This window comes from Homo sapiens, chromosome 15, assembly GCF_000001405.40.
Source record: "Homo sapiens chromosome 15, GRCh38.p14 Primary Assembly".
Classification (NCBI taxonomy): Eukaryota; Metazoa; Chordata; class Mammalia; order Primates; family Hominidae; genus Homo; species Homo sapiens.
The window spans coordinates 50,241,338-50,268,222 of NC_000015.10; the positions used below are offsets into that span (position 1 = coordinate 50,241,338).

General features: G+C 45.9%; 1 protein-coding gene and 1 pseudogene across 7 annotated transcripts, besides 1 other annotated feature; both read right to left on the reverse strand.

Annotated features, from left to right (window-relative positions):
- Nucleotides 610-24,389, reverse strand: HDC (histidine decarboxylase). 7 transcript variants are annotated; one of them, NM_002112.4, is made up of 12 exons: nucleotides 24,256-24,389; nucleotides 21,898-22,070; nucleotides 17,067-17,180; nucleotides 16,088-16,210; nucleotides 13,193-13,327; nucleotides 12,793-12,936; nucleotides 12,263-12,329; nucleotides 11,275-11,437; nucleotides 11,093-11,183; nucleotides 6,908-7,006; nucleotides 1,806-1,907; nucleotides 610-1,669 (listed from the first exon to the last, which is right to left on the reverse strand). In NM_002112.4, exons 1-12 carry the CDS (start codon nucleotides 24,284-24,286, stop codon nucleotides 923-925), a joined length of 1,989 nt encoding a protein of 662 aa, NP_002103.2. In that variant the 5' UTR covers nucleotides 24,287-24,389; the 3' UTR covers nucleotides 610-922. The 7 variants fall into 7 exon arrangements, with proteins under 7 accessions (NP_002103.2, XP_016877583.1, NP_001293075.1 ...); XM_017022094.2 differs by having other exon boundaries at nucleotides 11,275-11,542; NM_001306146.2 differs by lacking the exon at nucleotides 6,908-7,006.
- On the reverse strand, nucleotides 3,291-3,594 carry RN7SL494P (RNA, 7SL, cytoplasmic 494, pseudogene; annotated as a pseudogene).
- Nucleotides 10,713-11,214: an enhancer, noted in NCBI's record as "H3K4me1 hESC enhancer chr15:50544247-50544748 (GRCh37/hg19 assembly coordinates)". NCBI's record gives its function as "activates a minimal SCP1, AML or CMV promoter by ChIP-STARR-seq in primed H9 embryonic stem cells {active_cell/tissue: H9 hESC(primed)}" and the evidence as "EXISTENCE:reporter gene assay evidence [ECO:0000049][PMID:30033119]".

Consider the following 26,885-nt stretch of genomic DNA (forward strand, 5'->3'; position numbering starts at 1 on the left):
TGAAATGCCTAGTCACCTTTGCACAAATCCAAGTTGAGTTCAGTTCACATGGGACCCTTTTCCCTATTGTGATAGTATATTACTGTTTAACATCTATCCTTAAAGTTCTAACTAATGCCCAGCTTTGTTTGTCTTTAATACTCTTTACATAACCCATTTCAGAGTCACAACCTATCAAAGTACCATCTGAAATGGAAATAAAATTATGTGTTTGGCCTCTGAACTAATTATGGGCAAGCCACTTGTGAGCATAGCTTTTATTTGACTACCGGGTCCAGGAAAATAAGGGGAAAATGCACAAGTTCCAAACCTAGAAAGGAAACATTTAAATGTACTGGAGGACCAGAGCAGCCTGCTGGGCTGTGAGCTCCTGTTCAGGTCCAACCTTGAGCAGTACTGCATGGTGGAAACAGCCTGGGCTTCACTGGAAGCCAGGAGACCTGGGTTTGCCTATTTAAAGCTGTGTGACCTAAACGTTGGTTTCCTCATTTATGAACCATGAGCCACAGTGCCTGACTCATAATTGATGCTTCAAAAAAAGTACATATGTTTAAGCTCCCAGACTGGTTAATCAATGTTTCAGCAGCCAATTAAGTGACACAGGGTATGTTTTGTTTCAGGGACAAGCATAATTTATTTCTGTGTTATATATCATGTCACAAGCTGAACCACAGAAGCTGCCTGTCTACCCTCGGCCCTTTCTCACTGACCAGACTGCTGAACCCATCTGGATCATGCTGGCTTAAACTCTTCGTTTGTATCCTATTGTGGGTCATGAACCCCTATGAGAATTTGATTAAAATTATGAACTCGCCCCAAGAAAAATGCATGTACACATAAGCACACAAAGTTGGCATACAATTGTGAGGGGTTCACAGAGTCCCTGAAGTATATCCTCAGACTCTGGCTGAAGGCCCTGTGTCTAAACCATGGCCTGCAGAGGGCAACAGGGCAGCTGGAGTCCACATTGAGAGCTGCATTCAGGAAAGCTGGGGACGCTGTAGAATTTGATGAGTTTTTTGAAGGCACTTTTCTTCAGCATCATCATGTCTTCTGGAAACCTGGAAAAGATTCTGACCCTGGAGGAGCCCCCATTCTTCACAGAGGCCTCTGTGGGCAGTGGCTTCTGAGCACTCACTGGCACACTGTTGCAACTGAGGGAGCGCACCGTCTTCTTCTTAGTCTGCACAGACAAGTAACTGAACAGGAAGGAGGACAGCTTGTGCTTGGTGGCATCTGGGGCCTCTTCTGAAAAGCAGTCATCAACTGGGTCCAGCAGGGTTTCAAGATGGAGGCCATTTTCCCTTTTCATGGGACCGGCTCCCACACGCTGAGGCTGCTTGATGATCTTCCTGGCCTGGACTGGATCATCTCCTGCCCCACTGACAGACTGAAGGGACGTTCCACAGGCCCAGGCTCTGGCACCCCTGATTTGGGAGATGAGGTTCCCAACCCGAGGGCTGGGTTGGGAAGTACAGTGCTGACTCAGGATGAGAGTGGCAGCATCTCGAATGAGATTCCAGTCTCTCAGGATGTCATCCCTAGTGGTAAACTGGGATGTCACAGTGAAACGGATGATTAACTTGTCCTGGATAGTGGCCGGGATGAGGAAGAGACGGCCAGCTTTAGCTATTTCCTTTAACACATTTTCTGTGAGACAATTAGGACCCTGTTTGAAAAATAAAGGAAGTGAAGTCTCCATCGCACCCCCTGTCAGCATCCCCAGAGCCCAGCATTTGTGTTTCCGAGAGGCTCTGGAGCACCACAAGACATCATTCACAGAGGGGCTTGGAAGATGGTATTACCTTTAGACGAAAAACCACCAGGCCAAGGTGCCTCTTGGCAGGAATTTCAAAGGAAGGGTCGTTTCTGACCAGAGATTCAAAATATTTAGCCATTTCAGTACCCTGGAATTGCAAGTATAAAGAGAACTGAGATTAATCATCAGACAAGAGACTATGCATAAACTTTCAGACTGCTAAATGGTTTTAAACCAGGGCCATCTTCCCGTCACAGCCGTTGTAAGCGGCTTCTGCCTCATTGTCATCTCCATTTGATTTTGCTCATATTCCAAGCTGGAAAATTTCCAATGGCGCCCTGTTTCCTGTCACATGGGATCCACCTCGAGAACTCATCTCAGGGCCCTCTTTCAACTCAGCCCCAGAACCCAGAAGGCATGTGCTTTGCAGTCCAGGCAACCCGGCCTCAACTCCTGATTTCACAGCTCCTTGACTGGCCAAGTGGGCAAGTGAGGGCCAAAACCCAGTCCATGCTCTGCGTTCCCAGCCAGGTGCCTCATGCGAGCTGCGTGTGCCTAAAGGAAGAGATGCCTGTTTGTAGTGCACATCAAGTTGCCATATGGGCTAGTGGCGGCCCTGCCCCATCCTAAGCCTACATGCTTCACTTGCCTCTCAAACCTCTTCTCACCCTGTACCCCAAATGCCCTTTTCATCCCCTGTTTCTGACATTCCATAGAGAACATATTTTCACATCTTGTCTCCACCCATCATGGAAAGGTTTTGGACCTGGTTAATGGATACAGAGTTTCTGCTCGGGATGATGAAAAAATTCTGGAAATAATGGTGATGGTCACACCACATTGTGAGTATTCTTAATGCCACTGAATTGTACACTTAAAAATGAGTAAAATGGTACATTCTATGGTATGAATATTTTGTTACAATTTTAAAATGTTAAAGGCTTTGTATTATATTAATCTTCCACTGAAGTTCATACCATCTTTTTAAATGTCCTGGGGTTTTTTGCTTTTTGTTTTTAACCCAGGATTACTAACTAAACAAGGACAGGACTTGCCTTCTCTTTTCTTTTTAAAAATTTCTCCAAGCATCCAGAAGATCTCAATAAAATATTTGCTAAGTAATTCTATCAGTTAGTTCTCATACTTACTGCTCTATTTCAAGAGAGGGCAAGGGAGTTAGCTGAACCTCTTTTTTTTTTTTTTTTTTTTTTTTTTGAGAGATAGGGTCTTGCTTTGTCACACAGGCTAGAGTACAGAGGCATGTTGCACAATCAAAGCTCACTGCAGCCTTGAACTCCTGAGCTCAAGTAATCCTCCCACCTTCACCTCCTGAGTAGCTAGGACTACAGACATGCACCACCATGCCCAGCTACATTTTTTAATTTTTTTGTAAAGACAGTGGTCTCACTAGGTTGTTCACCCTGGTATCAAACTCCTGGGCTTAAGCGATCCTCCTTCCTAGGCCTCCCAAAGTACTGGGATTACTGGCATGAGCCACCATGTCTGGCCCTGAGCCTGTCTTTTGACCATAATGAAATGAGTTTCTCCAAATCTTTCTCAGAGCCCCTTTCTCCCCTGCGTGGTCAGTTTCAAACAGCACAGGAGTTTTGACCTGCTCCATTTCTAACCTGGGCCCCTTCACCCCTCCTTAGGCAACCTGGTGATCCCTTGCTCCTGGGAGGTCACCATATTGATGCCGAACTTAGTGCGGACACTCAATTGGCATAGCACACCATAGCCCAGAACTCCCACCTGGGCTATGGTGGGAGCAATTGAGCTTCCCACCTCAGCCTCCCAAGTAGCTGGGACTACAGACACGTGCCCCTGTGCCCAGCTCAATCTTTCCATTTTTTAGAAGGAACCAAGGGAAAGTGACTTTCCCAAGGTACAAGTGACAGTAGGTAGATCTCCTCCCACTGTGCTTTTATCCCTCCTACAACACATGCTGTTTGCAATAACAGAAGCAGAGGTCAGGGGAGAGGAGAATACAGAGCACAGGCAGCACTGCCACCTCCAAAGCCCCACTTTACAGGTCATGAAAGCAGAGCTGCTGCCAGTGCCCTGCACCGCTCTAGGTCAAGGGCAGGCACAGTGCAGCCATGGCCAAATATAGCCCCCACCTGTGTTTGTAAAGTTTTTTGGAACACAGCATTCCCATTTGTTTACATATTGTCTACGGTAGCTCTTGTAGTACAGAGGTAATTACAATAGAGTATGGCCCACAAAGCCAAAAGTATTTAGTATCTGGCTTTTTACAGGAAATGTTTACCAATCCCTATTGTAGGTGATAGGAGATGAGGATGATGATGATGATGATGGTGATGATGATGACAATTTATTATAATTAGATGAAGAAGGAGATGATGAAGAAGGGGAAGAAGAGAAGAGGAAGAGGTACTCATTGAGTACTTAACTGAGTAGTAGGTAGACCCTGTGCTAAGGGCTGCATATATATTATCTCATTTAATTTGAGAGAGGTAGTATCCTTTTCTCATTTTTATAAATTAGGAAGGCATGGCCAGGGGTGGTGGCTCATGCCTGTAATCCTCGCACTTTGGGAGGCCAAGGTAGGCAGATTGCTTGAGCCCAGGAGCGTGAGAACAACCTGGGCAACATGACAAAACCCCATCTCTACAAAAAATACAAAAAGTAGCCAGGCATGATGGTATGCGCCTGTAGTCCCAGCTACTCAGGAGGCTGAGGTGGGAGGATCACCTGAGCCTGGGGAGGTCAAGGCTGCAGTGAGCTCTGATGGCACTACCGCACTTCAGCCTGAGCAACAGAGACCTCATCTCAAAAATAAATAACAATAAATAAATAAGGCAGACAAATATAGAAAGGTTAAGTAATTTGTCTAAGGTCATCAAACAGTAAAGGGTAGAACTAAAAATCCATTCTTTAAAGCACTTCTCTGTAACACAGAAATATGAAATTTAATTTTATATAACTTTCCAAGAGCTCAGTGTAGTAGAAAGCAGCCCAGAACTATGAAGAAAGGATTTGGAATTGGGAGGCTTCAGGGAAAGTCCCGGGCCTTCTTCCCTCAAGCAGGGCAATTACTCCCTCTGAGCCTTGCCAGGTTAGAGTGACCACCCCAGGCACTGTGCTAAGGATCTAATGAAGAACTAGAATTTATTTTTGTATTGAAGGCATTACGCAAGTGTCAATAATTATCATCACCGTCAAGTTGAAGAGATAAAATCAAATCATATCAAACAACTTTATTTTAATTCCATTTCTTCTATTGTGGGACATTGGAAGAACTTTGAGCACAGTTTTGTAAAGGTGTTTGAGTAGGTGATCACAGGAATGCTAATGAAGCAGAAACCAGAACAGATGGAATAGGCAGAAAAGCTTCTAGTGGAAGCAGAATTTAATCCATTCACAACATTTGGAGAGGAGAGGGTAGTTCAGGTGAAGGACACGGGTGAAGGTGCAGAGATGGACTGAGCATGAGGTCTGGATGGGTCGATGAAATGCCCAAGCTAAGGTAGGAGCTAATCGTCAAGTCCTTGAAAGCCAGGCCCAGGAGTGTGGGCCTCATATGGTAGGCAATGGGGTTGCTAATAGGAGGAATTCAGGGGTTTGATTTGCAAACAGAAGTGCTAAGGGAGGTTAGTCAGGATCTGCACATTGAATATCCAGTCCCAAACTGTAAGCAAAAAAATGTTCCTAATTACTTGTAACCTCCACCAACCATTCCCCGCCCACAACCCTCCAGTCTTGAGTCTGCATTTCTAGAAACAGCACAAAGTGCCTAAAGTTCCTCAATATTGTTGGTGGCAGCTGCTCATTGGTAAACAACCAGTGGTGATTACAAAGGTAAAATTACCAACATTAAAACCAGTCATAGGAAACTGGAGAACATTATGTTAAGCAAAATAAGCCAGGCACAGAAGGACAAATTTCACATGTTCTCACTCAAACGTGGGAGTTAAAAAGTAAGCAAACTGAGCTCGTGGAGACGCACAGTAGAATGATGGTTGGCAGAGGCTGGGAAGGGTAGCAGGGAATGGGGGATAAAGAGGTGATAGTTAACGGGCGCAAAAATACAATTAAATAGATCTAATGTTAGGCGGCACAATAAGGCAACTATAGTTAACTATAATTTGCTGTACATTTCAAACTAACTTAAAGAATGGAACTAGAATGTTTCTAACACAAAGAAATGATAAATGGTTGAGTGGTGGATACCCAGTTACCCTAATTTGATCATTGCACATTGTATGCCTGTATCAAAACCTCACACATACCCCATAAATATATACGTAATTATTATGTAAGCATAATAATTATTTTTTTTAAATGTTAAAAAAAATCATAGTTACCGCTTCCACCACTTCATTTTGGTTTGTGTTTGTTTAACCAAGAAGGAATTCCCTAGAGGAAAGGTGGAAGGACAAAGACACACATAGGCAGAAAGGACAGTGTCTTCAGCTTCCCCCACTACTTTTATCAATGGCTTTGTCTTGCATGTGGACTCTTGTAGAAGTGGGAGAACAATGCCAGTGGCCAGAGTTCTTAGTTAAGTCCCGCTTCTTCCATGAAGAACATGGGAGAGAGGCTGCACCTGTCTCATTTACCTCTGTGTCCCTTTCTTAGCACAATACCTTGTAATTGTTGAATTGAATAGAAATAAATTAAGCAAAATAGGCCTTCAATAAATGCCTGTTGATGCAGGGAGGTTTGTTCCAGACTTGGTAGGTCTACCTGTCCAAGCCAGGGGAGCTTTATTTCAGGCATAATCATAATAGTGCTAAAATATTCAGCCAGCTGTGACCATTGAGGTAATTCCAAAGCAGATAGGATCCTACCCTGGCCACACACACTTCCCCTTGATTTACTTTCTCTTTCTCTTTCCTGCAAACCAGACTCTGGGGCCAACCCTCCCCAGTGCTCAGTGACAGCAAGGGGAACGGTGAGACACTCAGCAGAGGACAGGCATCAGGCAGCCCTCAGGGCATGTTGTGCTCAGCGCTCCTCTGGTTAACAAAGAGAATCAAGTCCCAGGAGCTGAGGAACAGGCCCAGACACCTGAACCACACACCGCAAGTCTCCTAGGCAGATCTGCAAAGTAGAAACCAGCCTTCCTCGCCATGAGAAAACAGAGGAACACAGGCTCAGCCCCCACAGCAGCATGCTACATACATGTCTGACATGTGCTTGAAGATTCTTCACCCCGAAGGACCGAATCACGAACCAGAGTTTAACAGAGCGAAACCGTCGGCTCAGGGGGATCTGCCAGTGCTAGAAACAAAGGAACACAGTGCCCAAGGTTAGAGACAAGGGTGCCCCACTCCCTCGGGCATTTCTGGGCATTATCTGTTGCCTGCCCAGCCCTCCAGGGATGGACGATGTCACCATGACTCTGGGAGCTGTTGCTAAGGAGTAAGCCAAGCTCCCCAAGGGTTGCCCCATCGTGTGACCAAATCACTGATGAAGGTGGCCAATAGTCACTTGTCTGAGAGCCAGACAAGTGGAAGTCAAGTCCATTACCCTGAACCAATGAGAAGGGCACTTTGCTTTCAAGTGCTGCTTTAAACATTTCATCCCGGCCCAGAAACTCAACATAAGGGAAATACATTTTTACTCTAAATGAATCTTTATTCCTTGAATAGCAGAAAATAAAGTTCTATTTTTATTCCTCCCAAAATGTAAAGTATGGTAGTTAGAGCACAGACACTAGAGCCCTGCAGACCTAGGTTTCGCCTCCAGCTGTGCCACTTACTAGCTGTGTGACCTTGGGTAGTGCCACCTCACTGGCTCATCAGTCCGGGACATAAAGAACCAATTGCACCTCCCGGGCAAGTGGTGTGAGGACAAAGAACGCCAAGAGCCTCAGAAGAAGTTGTCAGTAGGTGTTGGCTATTTAGATTATTTTAAAATGTGAGCTACAAATCACAGTAGCATTTCTGTCTAGAGCCAAGATGACCCCTATTTAACCTTACACTGCCTTGTTCATTTTCCTGTGAGATTCCTGTGATCTGAGAGCCATCACTCCAGCTGTCAGATTTCAAATGAGCACCCAAATTTCTGCCGCTGTTAGATGAAAATTGACTCTTTGCTCCTGGTGGCCAAATTCAACAGAGCTTAAAGTTCAAGGTTGCAGTCACCATACATCTGAAAATTTCCAAATCAATTTCAGACTGATTTCTCAGATCTGAAAATAGAGCAGAGGATTTGGAAAACATTTACAGTTATTCTAATGAGTCACGTGGTTTCCTAATGACATCTCCCTCAAACGTCAGAAAGTTTCTACCACAATTTCTGTTGACTAAAAATAAATGTTTGTCCCACTGCGTATTTATCTGCCCATACACAAGATTATCAAATCCTCACAAATGTCCTCACCTTCACCCTTCACCCCAGTTTCCTGAGCCAGGCACAGTTGGGATGTTACCCCTTTGTTGATGGACAATGTTTCCCCAGCAGAAAACTACTAAGCCTTTGATTTCCAAGCAAAACTCTGTTGTGCTGGGGAGCAGCTTGGGGGCTTTTGTGCCAGCAGAAGGCATCAAAACCTGAAAATGGAACAAAATTGCTGTAACAAGGAAAGTGTCAACTCCACCTCTTGTCCAATGGACACTCCAAGAGAATAATGAACGGATGATAGGGATCATCTGTCAAAAGGTTCTGGTTTCCAGATAGTTATAGCCAATTTATTTCATATATAGAGAGAGCTACTTTATTTTACCAGCAAATAAACCAGGATAGGCAGAGGTGATTTTATTTTGATTTCTTCACAATCTTCCTTATTCCCAGTTGCTCCTTTTCTTGTCACTATTCCAAAACTGATCCATGCTGACTCAGCAGAGTGGTTCTAGCCAACATTTTCTGTTGGATCAAAAAATCTGGACGTATAAAGCCTGACAGGGCTCTTCTTTACCTTGAGGCATCTCCAGCCTCCTCTGTGTCCTTGTAAGGTCCTTGCAGGGCTCCCTTGCCAAGGCTAAGGTAACGCTCCCTCCACTGGTGCTCTCTGTCCAGTGAGAGGCAGAAAACAGGGAGCTTCTCCGCTGTCAGAGAATCTAGCCCTGATTTTAGGTGATTCCAGGACCCCAGGGGTTAAGCACCTAAGTCTTCTCTCCTGGGATGCTGCCCTGTTTCTGGCTCATCTCAGAGCAGGACTGAGCTTCTGTTCAAAGCTGCAGCCACCTGGGTGGGAAAGACATTGGGCCCAGGTGAGAGTAGCTCTGAGGACCCTCAGGATCATGAAAAAGATAGCAACTTCACTTTTCTAGGAGTTTCTTCATGGACTTGAAAATCAAATCCATAGGATTAAAGGTGGGGGAAGGGTAAGTGTAAGGCAGTGCCTTCTGGGTGGAGAGGTAAAAATAATAAGGTTCCCCAGAGCAGGGCTGGGAAGAGTTTACTCTAACATTTTTATGAGTTATCTGGAAGACAGAGAGCACTGTAAAATCTCCAAACTCCTAGGAATGAACCCCGGGAAGATCCTGAGGCACTGTGGTAAATGAATTTAAACGGTAACATGAAATTCAAAAGGGCAAGGGTGAATATAATGCTCCTCAGTTATGATGACCCAAATACACTCATAGGAGAATGGGCATCAATTCACACTCAGGAAGCAAACCTACAGTTATCCCTAAAGATATCTGACCCTTGGGCTGTTCTGGAATTTTTTTAATTTTTCATTAAAAATCTCTGAAAACCTACCAGAAAGAGCAGTGGAGATAAAGAACCATTATTTTTCTTTCTTTCTTTACCTCTAGAGGGTCTTCTGTCACCACCAGTAAGCCGTGAGGCTTACCGCTGCAATTCTAATCCAAAAGCTTCAAATATCTAAAGAGGGTGTGGACTGGTCCAAGGGAGAATAGCCAGTATAATCAAGTGATGACGAAGCTATTATTTTAAGACTAAAAGGGCAAGACACTTCAGTTGTCCAAGAAGATAAGATAAAACCATCTCTTCACAAGGAAGGATGCTTACAGGGGTCAGACACTGCTCTCAGCACTTCAGTGTATTAATTTGTATAATCCTCACAGCAAGCCTAAGAAGCCAGAACTGTGGTCATCAGCCTCATTTGACACAAGAGGAAATCTGGACACAGAGTTTAAGTCACTTGCCCGAGGTCACACAAGTTAGTAAACAGAAAGCCAGGACTCCAACACATGCCATCTGGCTTTAGCACCTACATGCCTAACCACTGTCCTAACAAATCTCTGCAGCTTCAAAGAAGAGCTTTCAGAAATACTATGCCTACCATATATTGAGCACTTGCCACACGGCTATTTTGCTAGGTGATCCACACGTGTTCCCATTTAAGCTTCACAATACCCTATGAATCAATGCCACTATTCTCATTTTACAGATAAGGAAAGCAAGGCTCAGAGAGGTCCAGTTAGTTTCCCAAAGGGCCACTGCTGGAATGGAATTCCAAACCAAGCTTGCCCCCACTCTGCTCTGCTGCCTCCGTTGGCCAGGTTATGTGTAATACATTCGTTTACATCCCTGTCTCCCCTACAAGTAAAGGAAGGGCTCATCCTCAAACTGCGGAGTCAATTTGTTAAGAACTCGTTTCCCTCAGGCAAAATACTGGCTGAGGATGTGGAATCAAGAGAGTTGAGGTTTGCTGGGCGCGGTGGCTCACGCCTGTAGTCCCAGATACTTGGAAAGCTGAGGCAGGAGAATCGCTTGAACCTGGAAGGCGGAGGTTGCAGTGAGCCAAGATGGCGCCACTGCTCTCCAGCCTGGTTGACAGAGCGAGACTCTGTCTCAGAAAAAAAAAAAGAAAGAAAGAAAGAAAGAAAACAAAAGAAAAGAGAGAGAGAGTGAGTTAGAGAGTTGAGGCGCAGTCAGTTGGGAAAGTCAGGAATGCTTGGAGGCTTCCAGAACCTCACACAAGTCCTGCAGCCCATCACTACCACAGAGCTGCCCCACAGCGCCTCTGTCAGGGACAAAAAAACAAAAGCGATTTCAGCAAGAAAGCTCTTTCCCCACCAGGGAAATTCTCCACCCTGCCCTGCTGCTGGGTAAGAAACAAAAAAGATGACCCGAGATGGAGGCAGAAGGAACTGGTCCACCTGTGGTAGGAAGAGCATTTCTGGGAATTAAAAAATGCCACAAATATTCAGGAAATGTGCACACTGCCTCAAAGGCTGGTCTCATTTTCTAGGGTTTTTAACCATTTTCTGGGTTTCATTCTATATACTTAGGCACAATTAGAAACCAAGGTATGCATTGGCAGTATTATGAGATGAGCTCATAGTGTGCTGCCTTCTGAAGGGAGCCACCGTACAGATTTTGGGGGGTCAGACGCCTACAGTTCCCACTGGCCACCCGAGCCCACCAGGCTGCCCGTCCCTGGCCACTCACCATGAAGTCGGTGGCCACGCCTGAGTTGGCATGCCTGAGGTAGATGGGATTCACACTGAAGGTCTGCTGCAGCTTGTACTTGTCCTTGACCCTGTGGGTTTCCAAATGGGCATTAGTGGCTGAGGTCTCTCCAGAGGAGGCAAGGCGTTCCTGCGTGCTCGGAGCTGGGCTGCTACACTCACCAGAACCCAGTACAGTCAAAATGCACCATCATCCACTTGGAAGGATTAAAGGTGAAGGAGTCGGCATACTCAATCCCCTTCAGAAACCCCCGGAACTCGGGGCACAGGAAGGCAGTGCCTGCATAAGCAGCATCGATGTGGAGCCACAGCCCCTCACGGGCACCTGAGGAGGCAAACATCACCTGGCCGGAGGGGAGGTATGAAGTGGGGAAAGATGTCTCGCACCTGGCCAAGCTGAGTGGTGGGCTGCAAGGATGATGTGCTTTGGCTAAATGAGAAACGGAGGGGTGTGGAGATGGGAGCAGGTGGAGTCAGTTTGAAGAAGTGGGGCTGAAGGAGGCATCATTACCTCCGAATGGGAAAGTCTACAAAGCCTCACCCTTGCCTTTTTCTTCCACTGGGTAAAGGGCCAGCACCCTCTTGGCCTCAGCCTAGAACATCCTGGCACAGAAATCAATTTCCCACCAGCACAGAGAGCAATGTCAGTGCACCGAATACAAAAGTTAGAGGGAAGGTATCTCTCTTTCCTAGTGGTTTCTTGCTTGGGGATTAAACAGTCCCATCTGGGTTTCCTCTCTGCCTTTAATCTCTCCCATGATTTCCCCTACCCTACCCTTTTCCTTTTCTGAAGGTAGAATAGAAAGCATTTCTATTCTAGCCTAATTCACACTGTATTTTGGATATAGCCTGCATTAAGTAAAGTTCAACATACAAGTAAGAGGATGAGAAAACCGAAGGCTCTCCTACTGTCGCCTCCTAGGACAGGAGGCAAGGTAGGCCACCTCTAACTCTTGTCACACCACTGGGAAAGGCAATGTCCAGGGATCCCTGGAAGAGACCCTCATGACCTTTGGTGGTTCTTCCCATGTCTCTGCATTGACCAAAGAGGAACAAGAATAATCCCATAGAGCTGGTTTCAGGTCCTTGCTTTAGGAGACATTTAAAAATGTATTCCTTGTCTTCCTAGCCACAGAGGGAAGATACTTACAGATGGGGCCCAGCTCTGACAGGCAGTCAAATGCACAGACCCCAGTGGTCCCTAGTGTTGCACAGACCTAGGGGAAAATTAAGGCAAGTTAACACAGGAGGGTGGGCTCGTGTGACACATTTGGCCTGAGAAAGATTTCACCACAGACGTGATCTACTCCCATCCATCCCACCAGAACAGTGTATATTTCAGACTGTGTTTTACCATGGCTCGTAAGAAACACATTTTATATAACAATCTAGTACATGTATACGTGTGTATTTGAAAAAAAAGTTTCATAAAACAATACATACTCTGGCTATATGTGTGCACTCTAATATTTTATACTATATTTCTTTTTAATGCTGGTTATGACCCACAAAATTTATTCCATAACACACCTATGGATAGCACCTCATGATGTGTAAAATACTGTATGGGAGGACCTTTCTGCTTTTGTGTGCAGCATGTTACTTACCTGAATTCTGCCAAAATTCCTTCCTCACATCCAAGTTCTATCATTCTAAGCTTAGGCATATATCCTGACTTACAAAGACGGGCACCAAGCCCCGCTGCTTGTCTTCCTCGATGGCCTTCTGAAGAGCTTCCCCTCGGAGTGAGAAGTTGTCATCCACAGGCAGAAATTTCATCTTCACAAGGGAAATCAAACCAGCCTTTTCCACAGAGGAGTGAGCCTAGAAGGGCCACAGAAACCTGTCAGCAAAGAGTCATCCTGGAATGATCACCCCCCAGAAACTGCTGAAGCCTAAGACTCGGGAACCAAATATGATCATTGGAAGCTTGTCTTCCCTACAGTTGCTGGAGACAAGCTCCCATGTCTGAGCTGCTCAGAACCCCAGCGTACTCACGTCTAGAAAAAAATTGCTCAAGGACCAAGATTCCAGAAGCCAAGCACCAACCCGAAGGGCTGTCCTGCGTCGGGCAACTCACCTGGTCAGAGGCATAGGCCACGAGTCGGGCATTTAGGCAGGACTCATCAGCATCGGGCTCAGACGTTTTCATTTCCAGGATTTTGTTCTTCCTTGCTGCCAGCAGGGCAATCAAAGTGGATTCACTGACCGTGCTCTGCAGGGGAAAAGGATTATCATGGCAGCCTTTCTGTATTCTCTTGCCAAATTTCCCCAGGCTTTCTAGTTTTTTCTCTCTCTCTCTCTCTCTCTCTCTCTCTCTCTCTCTCTGTGTGTGTATGTGTTTGTGTATGTGTGTGTCATAGCTATTCACAGAAGGAAATACACAGCTCCTCCTGCCCAGGGTGCCCATGTCCCTCCCCAACTTTCATTCCTATTCTGCCTTCTAAAATAAGTTTGCACCTAATACCAGCCTCTCTATTACAGAGGCCACAGAAACCAAAAAGAGAATGTTCTGTCCCTCCTGGATGTGTTTGCTCCCCATGTAAAACATATTTAAAAGAAGAACTCTCAGCTTATTACACAAATGGATATGGAGTTTGAGTCCCCAGGAAGAGAGGATCCTGGCCTGTGTGAGAGGCTGGTGACTTGGGCCCATTTAGTTGTCAATAGCTCTTGTGACCTTGGGCTAACATTTCCCCTCCAGAAGACTCTTTTCTGTCTATGAAATGGAGAGCATCCCTTTAACTGCTTCCCAGGATGGGAGTATAGATTATCCAAACAAGGGTTGGGTAGGATTTTGCTCTGGCCATGATTGTGGAAATCTTCGGGGCCACCTCAGGAACTTCACAGGAGTCTTTATGGTTCCTTATCATTCATTCACCCAGTCTTTGATGTCTTTGCTTCTTGAAATCTTCAAGTGACCTACAGCTGATAGAATCCTGCTAAAAATGCCTGGCAGACACTGTCATGGAGAGTGGTGTGGACCAGATCCCACAGATATTAAGTGCCTGGGAGTTACTCCATAAAAAGAAAGCTATTTATGTAAAGAAGTATGTAGCATAATAATAATAATAATCAGCTGGGTGCAGTGGCTCGCACCTGTAATCCCAGCACTTTGGGAGGATCCCTTGAGTCCAGGAGTTTGAGACCAGCCTGGACAACATAGTGAGACCCTGTCTCTACAAAAAAAACAAAAAACAAAAAGCCAGGTGTAGTGGTGCACACCTGTAGTCCCAGCTACGTGGGAGGCTGAGGTTGGAGGATTGCTTGGGCCCAGGAGATGGAGGCTGCAGTGAGCCATGATGGCTCCACTGCACTCCAGCCTGGGAGACAGAACCAGGCCCTGTTTTTAAAAATAATAATAATGGTAACAACACCTTCCATCTGTATTGCAATTCATAGTTTACAAAACACTTTCTGGCATTCTACTTGCTCCTCACAACACCTCTTTGAGATAATTATGATTCTTGTCACACTAAGATGAGGAGAGTGATGCTCAGAGAGGTGATGGGACTAACTCAAGTTCACATGGCTGACGATACAGGAGAAAGCATGGTTTGGATTTAGACAGGCATCAGTTTGAATCCTCGTTCTTCCGCTTATCAGCTGTGTAAGCTAGGGCAAATTATTTAATCTCTCTGAACTTCAGTGCTCTTATCTCAAAACATTGGGGAATGGTACTATTCACCTGCAGGGTTCCTGAGATAATCAGATGAAAAGCAAGATCATGTACCGCAGACATTTAGCATGTTCTCCCAAATATGATATCTGAAGTTGTAACTATTTGCTGACAATCCAAAATGTCCACAACATGCTGCAATTTGTCTTTCTTCCGAGGTTCAGATTTTAATCTTGCTGCAAGGCTGCAGTGAGAGAGGGAGTCACTTAGCTAGCAAGAGGACCTAGTGAACTTCCTGGTTCTCATCTCAGAGCAACATGGCAATTTTTTTATTTTTTGAGACAAGGTCTTACACTGTCGCCCAGGCTGGAGGGCAGTGGCACAATCATAGCCCACTGCAGCCTCAATCTTCTGGGCTCAAGCAATCCTCCTACCTCAGCATCCCAAGTAGCTGGGTCTACAGGCACATGCCACCACACCCAGCTAATTTTGTTTGTTTGGAGAGATCAGGTTTCACCATGTTGCCCAGGCTGGTTTGAACTCCTGGGCTCAAGTGATCCATCTGTCTCAGCCTCTCAATGTGCTGAGATTACAGGGGTGAGTCACCATGTCCAGCCACGATTTTTATTTAAAAAAAGAATTCATTGAATCCTTGCATATACTCTTTGAGGGAAATAGTATTATTATCTCTGTCTCATAGATTATAAAACCAGGAAACATACATTAAAGTAGAATTCAAGAATCTGAGGAATCTCAAAGGTCTTAGAACCAAGCCCTCATGAACGTCAAGGATTTATAGATGCAAAAGCACCTAACAATGTGTGTGGTCCATGGGAGGCACCCAGAAAGCTCCACTCCATGGCACTACTCTTGAAAAAAAGAAATATTTGAAGAACCATAATTTGACAAGTATCCAGAAGATAGGGTCAGAGGATACCGTTAATCAGTTTATGCTGTTAATTGCTCTCACTGCAAGGGATCTCCTGAACCTAGCAGGGAGAGAAAGAGAAGTCCTCTCCTTGCCTTCTCCTTTCCCCTTTTACCGTGAGATACAAAATGGGACACCAAAAAGGAATTGTCAGATTATAGACTAAGAAACCTGAATCAAGTCATACTGGAAATGTGATCATGTGTTGGCTCTTTAATTTCTTTCAAAGGAAGTAGCAGTACATGTGAATGAAGCAGAAGCTGAGGTGGGAGTAGAGGTGGAAGCTGTGATGATGGTGCTGTTGGTGATGACGGTGTGGGTAATGTGGGGGAAACTCCATGGAGAACGGGAGAATTGCCAGGTTAGGGTTTGGCTTGTCTTTCGCTACTTAGCCCCCAAGCTAGGTGAAGCTTTGCCAAGGGAGGTACCTGCAGGACGCCTCCGCCCTGGCTGCTGGGGTGGTGGTGCAAGAAGTGCTCTGGAAGTCCCAGCATTTTTGCCAACCAGTCCATGACGTTCATCTCCAGCTCTGTACACGCAGGGCTGGATGCCTGAGAAAGGAAAAGGAACTTCAAACTGCACAGCCCCAGGGCACTGAGGTGCCCCCACGAGCTCCAGAAACATGTCTGCCCCTGATGGTGTCAATGGGAACATTTCTGGAGAAGGGGTCATGTTAGGCCACGTGCCTCTCTCCTGGTCCACTCTCTGTCAACCAAAAGAGAAAATAATGTGGGGTTTTGGATTCATGCTGCCCTCAATGAGGCGAATTCTCCAAGGCTCTATGGAGAAACAGCCCTAGAAATGGTTGGCTTGGATTTGGTTCTCCAAGTCGCTAAAATACATAGCTGAGAAGTCCTCAAATGCCCAGGGGGATGTTTTCCTAGAAAAGATATGAATACCCCCGCCCACCCACCCACACACCCATAGGAGTTCAGGCTTAAAATAAAAAGATGTTCTGGAAGGCTTTTGGCACCATTTAAAGCTGAGTGGTGCTTAAGGGGTTATTAAGGGAAGTCTTAGGACATATCTCCAGCTACTCAAATACAAGAGCACAGAGGAAGTGGTGACTCAATAGGCATCAAATTGCTTAGGTAAGGTCACAAACTGTGGCAATAACCAGATCTGTATCCAAGTCTTATCTGTGTCTCTATGAGCTGTGTGATCTGGGGGAGATAAGTTGCTTAAGCCTCGATTTCTTCACCTACAAAATGGGATCAATACTCGTGATTCCATAGGGTTAAAGGATGTGATGAGAAAATTAAAATAAAGCGTAAGCTTAAAGAATATAGCCCTCATTAATATTTATTGTGGAGCCATATTCAGAAACCAAGACAAAATATGTCTGCCCTAGGATACCACTCCCTGCTACGTTCCCCATTGCGAGTAGTTACAGCCGTTGCTACTCACCCAGGTGAATCCCAAGCAGTTGATGGCATCAGCCAGCATGTCTCCTAGCAGGGAGGGCCAAGAGGTGAGGGCTGGGTAGTAGGCGTGCATATGGGGGCTCTGCCAATGTACCACCTGGAGGCAGAGCATGCACAGAGTTGGCACCAGGAGGCATTTCCAGCAGGCTTTCTTTCTCCAGAGACCATCTCTGGCAAGGTGAAGTGTCACTCTAGAGATGGGCTGACACTTTTAAGCAGAAATAAGTGACATAACTCCATGAAAATCAGACTTGTTCACTGGTGTTCTTGTCACTAATGTGGCCCATGTCCTATGCTAGATCATCAGTGGAGCCTTTTCATATATGCAAAGTCCAGAAGGAAATATGCAAAAGGAAAATCACTACAGTAACCCAGTTGTGGGATTCTGGGTGGTATTCACATTAGTCCCCAGTACTTACCCCTCATGCCGCCCCTGCCCAGCAATAAAAGGAAGGGCAGGCCGGGTGCGGTGGCTCATGCCTATAATCCCAGCACTTTGGGAGGCCGAGGCAGGTGGATCACGAGATCAAGAGATTGAGACCATCCTGGCTAACATGGTGAAACCCCATCTCTACTAAAAATACCAAAAAAATTAGCCAGGCGGGGTGGCAGAAGCCTGTAGTCCCAGCTACTCAGGAGGCTGAGGCAGGAGAATGATGTGAACCCGGGAGGCTGAGCTTGCAGTGAGCCAAGATCGCTCCACTGCACTCCAGCCTGGGCGACAGAGCAAGACTCCGTCTCAAAAAAAAAAAAGGAAGGGCAGACTGTGAGCTCCAGAAAAGCAGACTACTTGTTTCATCCAGTTTCTTGCAAAAGGCACCTTTTGTTTTTGTTTTATGGAGCACTGAGCTCCCTGAGCATGCAACTCAGAGGGTCTGGGTGAATGGGTTCAAAGCTGTCCTTAAGCATCACATTGGGAATGTAGTGAGGAAAGGAGACGGTAGAGAGGAGAGCCCAGACCAAGCGTATGGGAGGCCGACCTCCAGGCTAAGCCCTGAGCCCACAATCAAAACCGGATGTAAGGAGGAGCTGAGTGGGCAGGAAGGGCCCCCCATCAGAACTCAGAAGCAGCCCTGGTGGTTCATCGGCCTCATGGATTATCTCATCTCTCCTCATCTCACTGCTCTGCAAGCATGCCCTGTTCCTTTCTGCATTTATGTCTTTGAGCAATGCTGTGTCCCCTGATAGAAAGGCACTCTCTATAAAGACATGACCTTCCAAAACCTGCCAGTTCTTAGAAAGCTACTAAATATTCATTTCCTCCTCGAACTCTCCCCCAGCTCCCACAGCTCCCTTCGATCCCTTCCCTGAGCGATAGAACTCTAGAATTCTAGATGTTTCACTCTACTGAGGACTCATTTGATAACATCTTAGGGCATCATCCTGTTCTTTACTGTCCACACATACTTAGAGTCCTTCAAGAGCAAGGACCTTGTCCTGGACAGTGTGTATAGTATAAGGAGCCTAAGAATTAAGTCCAAGGACACAAGTTCCCATCCCACCTCAGTCCCTAACCAGCTGTGTGACCGTGTAGATTTACCATGAAGCTAATGAACTTAAGCTCCAACATACCATTTGTGTGGGTCTCTTTTGAGATTCATTCTTTTTTTTTTTTTTTTGAGACAGATTCTCGCACTGTCACCAGGGCTGGAGTGCAGCAGCGCCATCTTGGCTCAGTGCAACCCCTGGCTCCCAGGTTCAAGAGATTCTCCTGCCTCAGCCTCCCAAGTAGCTGGGATTACAGGTGCCCACCACCATGCCTGGCTAATTTTTTGTATTTTTAATAGAGACAGTGTTTCACTATGTTGGCCAGGCTAGTCTCGAACTCCTGACCTCATGATCCACCCGCCTCAGCCTCCCAAAGTGCTGGGATTACAGGCATGCACCACTGTGTCCGGCCTCCTTCTTTTTTGTTTTTCAAAAGGAGGTCTCAAAAAGTGTTTACAGTACAGACCCCATAAGACCAGGAGCCTCTCCTGCACCTCCCTCAACCTCAGTTTCTCATCGTAAAATAAATCCTGTCTCCTAGGGTTGTTGTGTGGGTGGAGGCGTGGGCAAGAAATGTGTGAAATGTTAAGCTCTAACATTAACGGTAAACTAATCATGTGGGTGACAGACACATCACATATCCTGACTTGACTCAGAGAATCAAACCTCTTCCTCCAATTTTCACCATGTAAGAGTCATGATCGGTAATAACCACATCTCCTGCTCTCCAAGCCTTCTCTTACTTACTTCTCACAGGACCCTATGGGGTAGGACCTACACATTATCTCTGTTTTGCAGGCGAGAACTGGGGCTGACAGAGAGAGGCCACATCCCTGTGGTCACACATACCCCATAGGGACAGGTGACCGCAATGAGGCAGAAGCCCAGACACCCGAGCAGGGTGGTGTCCTGACTTTTCCCGTGGGGATGCTCTCTCTCTCTCATGAAAAGTAAATGAGGATTGTCTAACCAGGGTTGGAATTAAAGGGGAAAGAGAGTTTTTCTTCTCTTATTTTCTAGGTGGTGGCAGGAAGAGAAAAACTAATTCAGTTTTCAATGAGGCACTGAGCAAAATGAGTAAGCAAAGGGCCAACTGCTTTCAGGCCAGCTCTCAGAGGCTGGTGTGGCCTGAGAGATGAGTTGAGAGATTTGACCATCATTATCACTGTCCTTAGTGACAGTATTTTGGAAACCCCAGAGAAGGGCTTCTACCTCCTAGCTCTATCAAGAGACAATAGTCTGTTCTTGTAAGATAAATAAGATAAAATAGCCAGAAGAGCCCTTATCAAAAACAAACAGACCTCTTTCCAGAAATGAGCCTCACCGACCATACCCACAGCAACTGCTGGAATTCCTCTTGATCAAATGAATCAGCTCATTTCCACCTCTTCTGACAGTTGCTTTCAGTCTCACTCCCAGATTACAGTTAGCCCCTCAGCAGATTACATTTTACAGAATAAAATCCAGGAGATAATCTTATCAGGATCTAGCCTCCGTAAAGCCTTACTGATATTGACATTTTCAAAAAATGCTTGTGAAATAGGCTGAATGGTCAAAGAGATGAGTGGCTTTGTATGAAATTGCCCTCATGGCCAGGCGTAGTGGCTTAGGCCTCTCATCCCAACACTTTGGAAGGCCGAGGCAGGAGGATCACTTGAGCCCAGGAGTTGGAGACCAGCTTGGGCAACATAGCAAGACCTTGTCTCTATTGCTTCAAAAAAAAAAAAAAAAAAAAGTCAAAATTGCCATCACTTTCTGAGTTTGAATATTTTCCCACCCCTGCCTCTAGGCATATTTTTGTCACTTTTTTTTTTTTTTGAGATGGAGTTTCGCTCTTGTTGCCCAGGCTGGAGTGCAACGGCGCTATCTCAGCTCACCGCAACCTCCGCCTCCCGGGTTCAAGCGATTCTCCTACCTCAGCCTCCCAAGTAGCTGGGATTACAGGCATGTGCCACCATGCCCAGCTAATTTTGTATTTTTAGTAGAGACGGGGTTTCTCCATGTTGGTCAGGCTGGTCTTGAACTCCCGACCTCAGGTGATCCACCTGCCTTGGCCTCCCAAAGTGCTGGGATTACAGGTGTGAGCCCCCGCGCCTGGCCTTTTTGTCACATTGAAGTCAAAAGTTCTTTGGGAATGATGAAGGCAAACCTCAAGCTGGCCTCAGGAAGAGCCTCTAAACATGTGTGGTTCAGAACACAAATGCCCCAAGCAGGGAGAGGGAAGACACAGCTTGTGTGGGGGTGTGGAGCCAGACAGGCAATGCTAGGGGCCCAGGCTTAGCCAGGCACATTCAGGCACCCACCAGTAGAGGTGACAGAGGGTAGGAGAAACGGCACAGCCTGTGAAGTAAGACTGGTCTAGGGTAAAATCCTGGATCTACCAGGTACTAATTCTGTGACTTTGGGCAAGACAGTTAACTTCTCTGAGCATCAGCAGTTTCCTCATCTGTAAAACAGGGCCACTGGGAAGATTAAATTAGATAGCATGTCATGTGGCCAGCACAGAGCTGGCACATGGCAGGGAGCCCCGCCACAGGAAGGGAGTCGATGCCACTTTAGCATGAGCACCATGGCAGAGCTCCTCACCGCCAGTGGTCAGGGGTGTCCACCACCCATCAAGGCAGGCTCCAGCTCAAGCCCATGCATCAGCCAGCTTCCATCAGCTTCCTGGCCCCACCAGCACTATCCCAGGCTGCACCCTCCATCATGGAAAGTATCAATGATTCAGGGAAAGTCCCTTCTTGCTCTTGAAAAGCAGCTCAATCACCAGACCTCAGAGGGGACAGGAGGGGTTGCCAGGGCCCACTCAGTTTCCTGGGCCAACGCAACCTGGTCACCAGCGTGTCCTTGCCAGGATGTGTTCCCCACTTCCTTCCTTCTCTTTGGTGTGGTCTCAGACACTGTACAGAAGAGTCTCTGGCTCCGTCGTCAGGGCCAGGCACTACCACCAGCTTCCTCTCCCCTGTCTTACTATACACAGTTGTCCTTTCCCCTCAGACAAAATGTTCACTTCTCCACCCATCCCATTAGACTTCCACACTTCTGCCAGGCTGTGCTCTGGAATGCAGGTGTTCTGGCCAGCCCTGCCCTGGCATCAGAAACCTCATGCCATGGCACAACTGGGCAAAAAAAAAGAAAAAGAAACCTAATACCAGTCAAAGTCCTGCCCTCCACATGCCTAGCAGATGGGCTGGGGTGTTGGTGGCCAAGTGGCTGAAGGATGCATTCTCATCCCAAGCTGACCCAAAGCAGGTCTTTCTCCAGGCCACCACCCACCCTTCTGTGCCCTGAAATCCAGAACTGCCCTTGTGGTCACTGTGTCTCACCCCAGGCATGATGATTCGTTCAATGTCCCCAAAGATGCTGTCCCAGCTGTCGGGGTCCTCAGGAGCACTCTCAGGCAGCTGGGCTCGCAGGTAGCCAGGCTGCACGTCTGGCGTCACACGTCTCTCCCGCACAGTGCTCAGGTACTGGCAGATGTAATCCACCATCTCTCTCCCTAGAAGTGACATAGAGAAATCAGGCTGAAATCCCCTGACTGGGCCTGACCGATTTGTGCCCATCCCTCTCAGGTCCGGGCCAAGAGACTTGGTAAAGAAGGAGATGGATTTGGCCGGGCACAGTGGCTCATGCCTGTAATCCCAGCACTTTGGGAGGCTGAGGCAGGCGGATCACGAGGTCAGGAGATCAAGACCATCCTGACTAACATGGTCAAACCCCTCTCTACTAAAAATACAAAAAATTAGCCGGGCGTGGTGGCAGGCGCATGTAATCCCAGCTACTTGGGAGGCTGAGGCAGGAGAATCGCTTGAACCTGGGAGACGGAGGTTGCAGTGAGCCGAGATCGTGCCACTGCACTCCAGCCTGGACTCAAAAAAAAGAGAGAGACAGATTCATGGGCCGAGGGTAGGATCTGATCCCCTGCACGACCTTATCTTCAGAATTTAAAAAAAGAGTGAGGGAGTGAATGAATGATGGAGGGAGTTTCTAAGTGAGCAAATGAACAAAAAGGAAAATCTCCAAAGCACAAAACTCTAGCGCCAAAGTGAAACGTTTCATTTTCTTTCCCCTTCCTTTATCCACTTCAATTTTGATTGTCTCTCCTACCTTTCTTTCCTTCTCAGAAACAGAACATCTATTAACTATTTTATAGGTTCAATAGAAACTCTATAGCTCTTTGTATCCAAAAATTGTTACACACACACCCACCAGTTATATCTGTTAGCACAGATAGAAAGATTCCATGCCCAGTTCCGATAAAGGACAAAAAAATCTATTTTTTCACCATCCCCATTGAATCAGTTATTATTCATCTTTTTTGGACTCATATGAGGACTTAATTCAAGAATCTGATTAAAACTGTAGGCTTACATATACACAGAACTTTGTGTATAATTTCTGAGGCTCACAGAATCCCTAAAGCACAACCATGGATCCAGACCAAGCCCCCTGCCCTGGCCTGGGAAATGTGGCACCAAATCTTAATGACTTTCTCTCCCTCCTGCTGCCTCCATCAACACCTCAGTGCTTAGGATATTTTTTAGATGCTAAAAAAAAATGTATCAAGTGAATGAACATATGAGTAAGGAAGGAAAAAAAAGTCAAGTTGAACACTCTGAAACTATTGCAAATTATTTATTCTTTCAGATTGCAGTCTTCAGTGCCTCTGTTGCTGTGTGTGCATGTGTGTGTGTGTACATATCTCTTTGTCTGTCTCAACATCCATTCCTTAGTACTCCCTGGGCTGCTTTTACCTAGGAGAGGGGACTCAGTTTCTCCCCTCTGCATCAGCTTATGCAAAGTTCTTAAGAACAGAACCAACCCCAGACAAAACTTATGAGACAAAGGTAGATTTCCACACCATTCTATCTTCCTTCTGCTCCCCTTCAACCCTCTCACATCCTGGTTCTTCTCCAGCAGGGCCCCACCAGAGATCTGAGAGCTCTAGACCTAACCCTCCACTGATCCAGGAACAGTGCTAAATGTATTTGTGTTCCACTCAGAAGATAAATATCCACAGGAACTTGCTCTCAGCTGACAGTGCCTTAGGAAAGCAATGGAATAAGCTAACGCACACTAATTAGTGAGTAGGAGGATATAAAACATTATAGAAATAGACATTCAAGATTCTTTTTTAAGCAACTACCTACTTTCCTGCTAAGGGAGATCCATGCCTGAGAACTGGATAACCACTTGGTTTTGCCTGATACAGAGTAGGCACCTACTAAATATTTATGAAATGAATGACTAAATGAAAGAACACTGCTGATAGATTCACACATGAAGGAATGAATGTTAAGAAAGAAAGGATTTGCAGTGATTACAGAATATTGAGAAAATTTTTTTCTATTTCAGAATATGAACAATCCCCTTTTCCCATCTAGTGGCTCAGGGATCCAAATCCTCAATTTTGTGGGAAAGTGGGGAGGAAAAGCAAGGCACGGTAGTGTGGACATATGTGAGAGTGGGTATATGAGAGGGAGAATGAAAGAGTGGTTGAGAAAAGTTTTACACTCTGATCCCACATTCCTTTCGCAGAAAAAAAAATGTTGCTGGTGCCAACTCTCAGAAGGCAATTCTAATGCTCCCATCAAATGTCACCCCAGAATCTAAGGGCCACCCACCAGCAGCCGTTCCTGCAGGAGTAGCAGCAGGGAAGAGGGCCAGGGATGCCCGTTGCTCACCTCTCTCTCTGTACTCCTCAGGCTCCATCATCTCCCTTGGGCTCTGGCTCCTTCTCACAGATGGACACGCAGGAGGTGGAAGGCGTGAAAGGCGTGGAGCAGCCCGGCTTCCCTCTTGCCAGTCCTGCGCACTCCCTGGCAGCCAGTGTGGGCCCTTTATTTAAAGGGTTCTTTCTTTGACCTTAGCTCCGCCCTTCAAAGTCCCTTCCTCCAGGTTTAATTAATTCCACCCTTTCTTTCCCCAGTCCTTGTAGAAAACAGCGACCACAACTTTGACTGGTCAAGAGAGCCAGGATAAAAGGCGCTTCTAAATTAAGCAGTGCACTTAGCAACCCAAGCCTGCAGGCAGCCTCCAGGTGGATGCCGTAAAAGAGCCCTCAGTTCTTTCTGCCCCTGGATTCAGACAATAGAGCTCCAGCCTCAGACAAGCTCCCAGCTCAGTAGACCAGAATAAGGCCAAGGGTATGCAGAAAAAGTAGCACAAATTATTAGTATTATTCCTGCCCCTGTTTCCTTATCAGCAGTAGGGAGGGAGGAACAGGCACTAATAGTGATGCCCCCTGTGCCCAGGAACAGGCAGAAGTTATCATTGACCACAATGGATTTTTCTATTACAACATACTATCTGTTGTTGCAAAGAATGAAAAAACACAGTTATAAGCCAAAAAGAATAGAAATTAAAACATCACCCCAAATTAATCACTTTTAGCACTTAAAGAAGTAGAAGGGGGGCGTGTAAAGGGACCTGCAGAAACCCCTGTAGGGAGGGGAAACACTATCCTTGGGGTTTGATTTCTGAGTAAAAAGTAATCCAACGTTTTCACGTTGCTAAATGCAATAGTCTTTCTTGTTTATTTGTTTCCAGTCGTCCTTCTGGTTCTCTTGGTGGCATTTTATTTGTTACTACTTCATCCTTGCAGCTCACAGTTTCTCTGGGCTTTCCTCCTACATCTCTGGCTGTTTGTTTCCTCCAATGCTGGCACACCTCAGGGCATTGCCCTCCTTTCATCTTTCTGCTTTGGTGGCATTGCCCATTTCTAAGGCTTTTTTTGTTTTGTTTTGTTTAGACGGAGTCTTGCTCTGTCGCCCAGGCTGGAGTGCAGTGGCACAATCTTGGCTCACTGCAACCTCTGCCTCCCGGGTTCAAGCAATTCTCCCACCTCAACCTCCTGAGTAGCTGGGCCTACAGGTATGTGCCACCATGCCCCACTAATTTTTGTGTTTTTAGCAGAGATGGGGTTTCACCATGTTGGCTGGGTTTGTCTCGAACTCCTGACCTCAAGTGATCCACCCGCCTCAGCCTCCCAAAGTGCTGGGATTACAGGTGTGAGCCACTGCGCCCGGCCCATTTCTTAGGCTTGAAATGTTACCTATGTGATATCCGTATAGGTTTAAACATACCATCAGGCCCTCCCTGTCTTTTGAGCTTCAAAATCTTATATCCAACTGCCTTTCTGACAAATCCTCTCTTATGACTCTGAGGCACCTCAAACTTAACGTATTGCAAAACTGTCTTTCCCCAAAAATATGCCCCACTTCTAGTCTTCCCCATCTCAGTTCATCATCTCTCCATTTTCCATCCACCCATCTATTCACCCCTTGACCGTCCATTCATCCAACCACTCATCCATCCAACCACCATCCATGCATCCATCTATCCTTTCATCCATCCATTCATCCACCCAAATGCTGAAGGCATAAACCTGGTGTCTTCCTTCCCCTTCACTTTCCCTGCTCCCTGCCCAATTCAATCTGTTCAGATTCAGTTCTATTTCCAAAATAAATCTAGTCTGTCAAATTCTCCCCATTTCCATGACTACCACCCTATTCCGGTCCAAGCCACCATTATCCTTCACCTAGACTAATGCAGGAGGCTTCTCATTGGCCTGTTACTGACCATGGGTTCTTGGGCTCTCAATGTAATAGAAATTGAGAAGGCCAAAAGAGTTTTCCCAGACAGGGCATTATCAGAGCTTATGCCCAGGCATAAGGGAGACAGCACGAGAGAGAGAATTCTCTGGCAGGCTCCTTGAAGAGAGTCAGGAAAGTAATTTTAGGCTAAAATAGGTAGGAAATTTTTTAATTACTACTGAAAAAACTACAGTGAGAAATCACTTCATACAGACTATGATGACTATAATAAAAAAGATAGATAACAACAAGTATTGGTGAAGACAGGGAAAAATTAGAACCCTCATACTTTACTGGTGGGAATGTAAAATGGCACAGCCATTTTGGAAAATAATCTGGAAGCTCCCCAGAAAGCTAAACCTAGAGTTCTTTATGACTCAACAATTCTACTGCTAGGTGTATATCCAAGGAAAATGAAATCATGTCCACACAAAAACGTATACATGGGTGTTCATAGCAGAATTATTATAATAGACAAAAATGGAAATAATCCAAATGTTCAGATGAATGAATGAAACGTAGTATATCAATACAACAGAATATTATTCCATGATAAAAAGGAATGAAGTACTGATACATACCAAAACATGGATGAACTTGGAAACATACTAAGTGAAAGAAACTAGTCACAAGGAACCATATATTATATTATTTCATTCATATGAAATATCGAGAATAGACAAATCTACAAAATAGATTCATGGTTAGAAGTGGGTAGG

What these genes read in the sequence shown, in the direction of transcription:
- HDC (XM_017022094.2), bottom strand. Translation starts at nt 24,286, where the DNA reads ATGATGGAGCCTGAGGAGTACAGAGAGAGAG. An exon ending in ACTGCTTGGGATTCACCTGG is followed by an intron (nt 16,211 to 17,066) that starts GTGAGTAGCAAC and finishes TTCCTTTCTCAG; the next exon opens with GCATCCAGCCCTGCGTGTAC. An exon ending in TTCAAGCACATGTCAGACAT is followed by an intron (nt 1,908 to 6,907) that starts GTATGTAGCATG and finishes TTGCAATTCCAG; the next exon opens with GGTACTGAAATGGCTAAATA.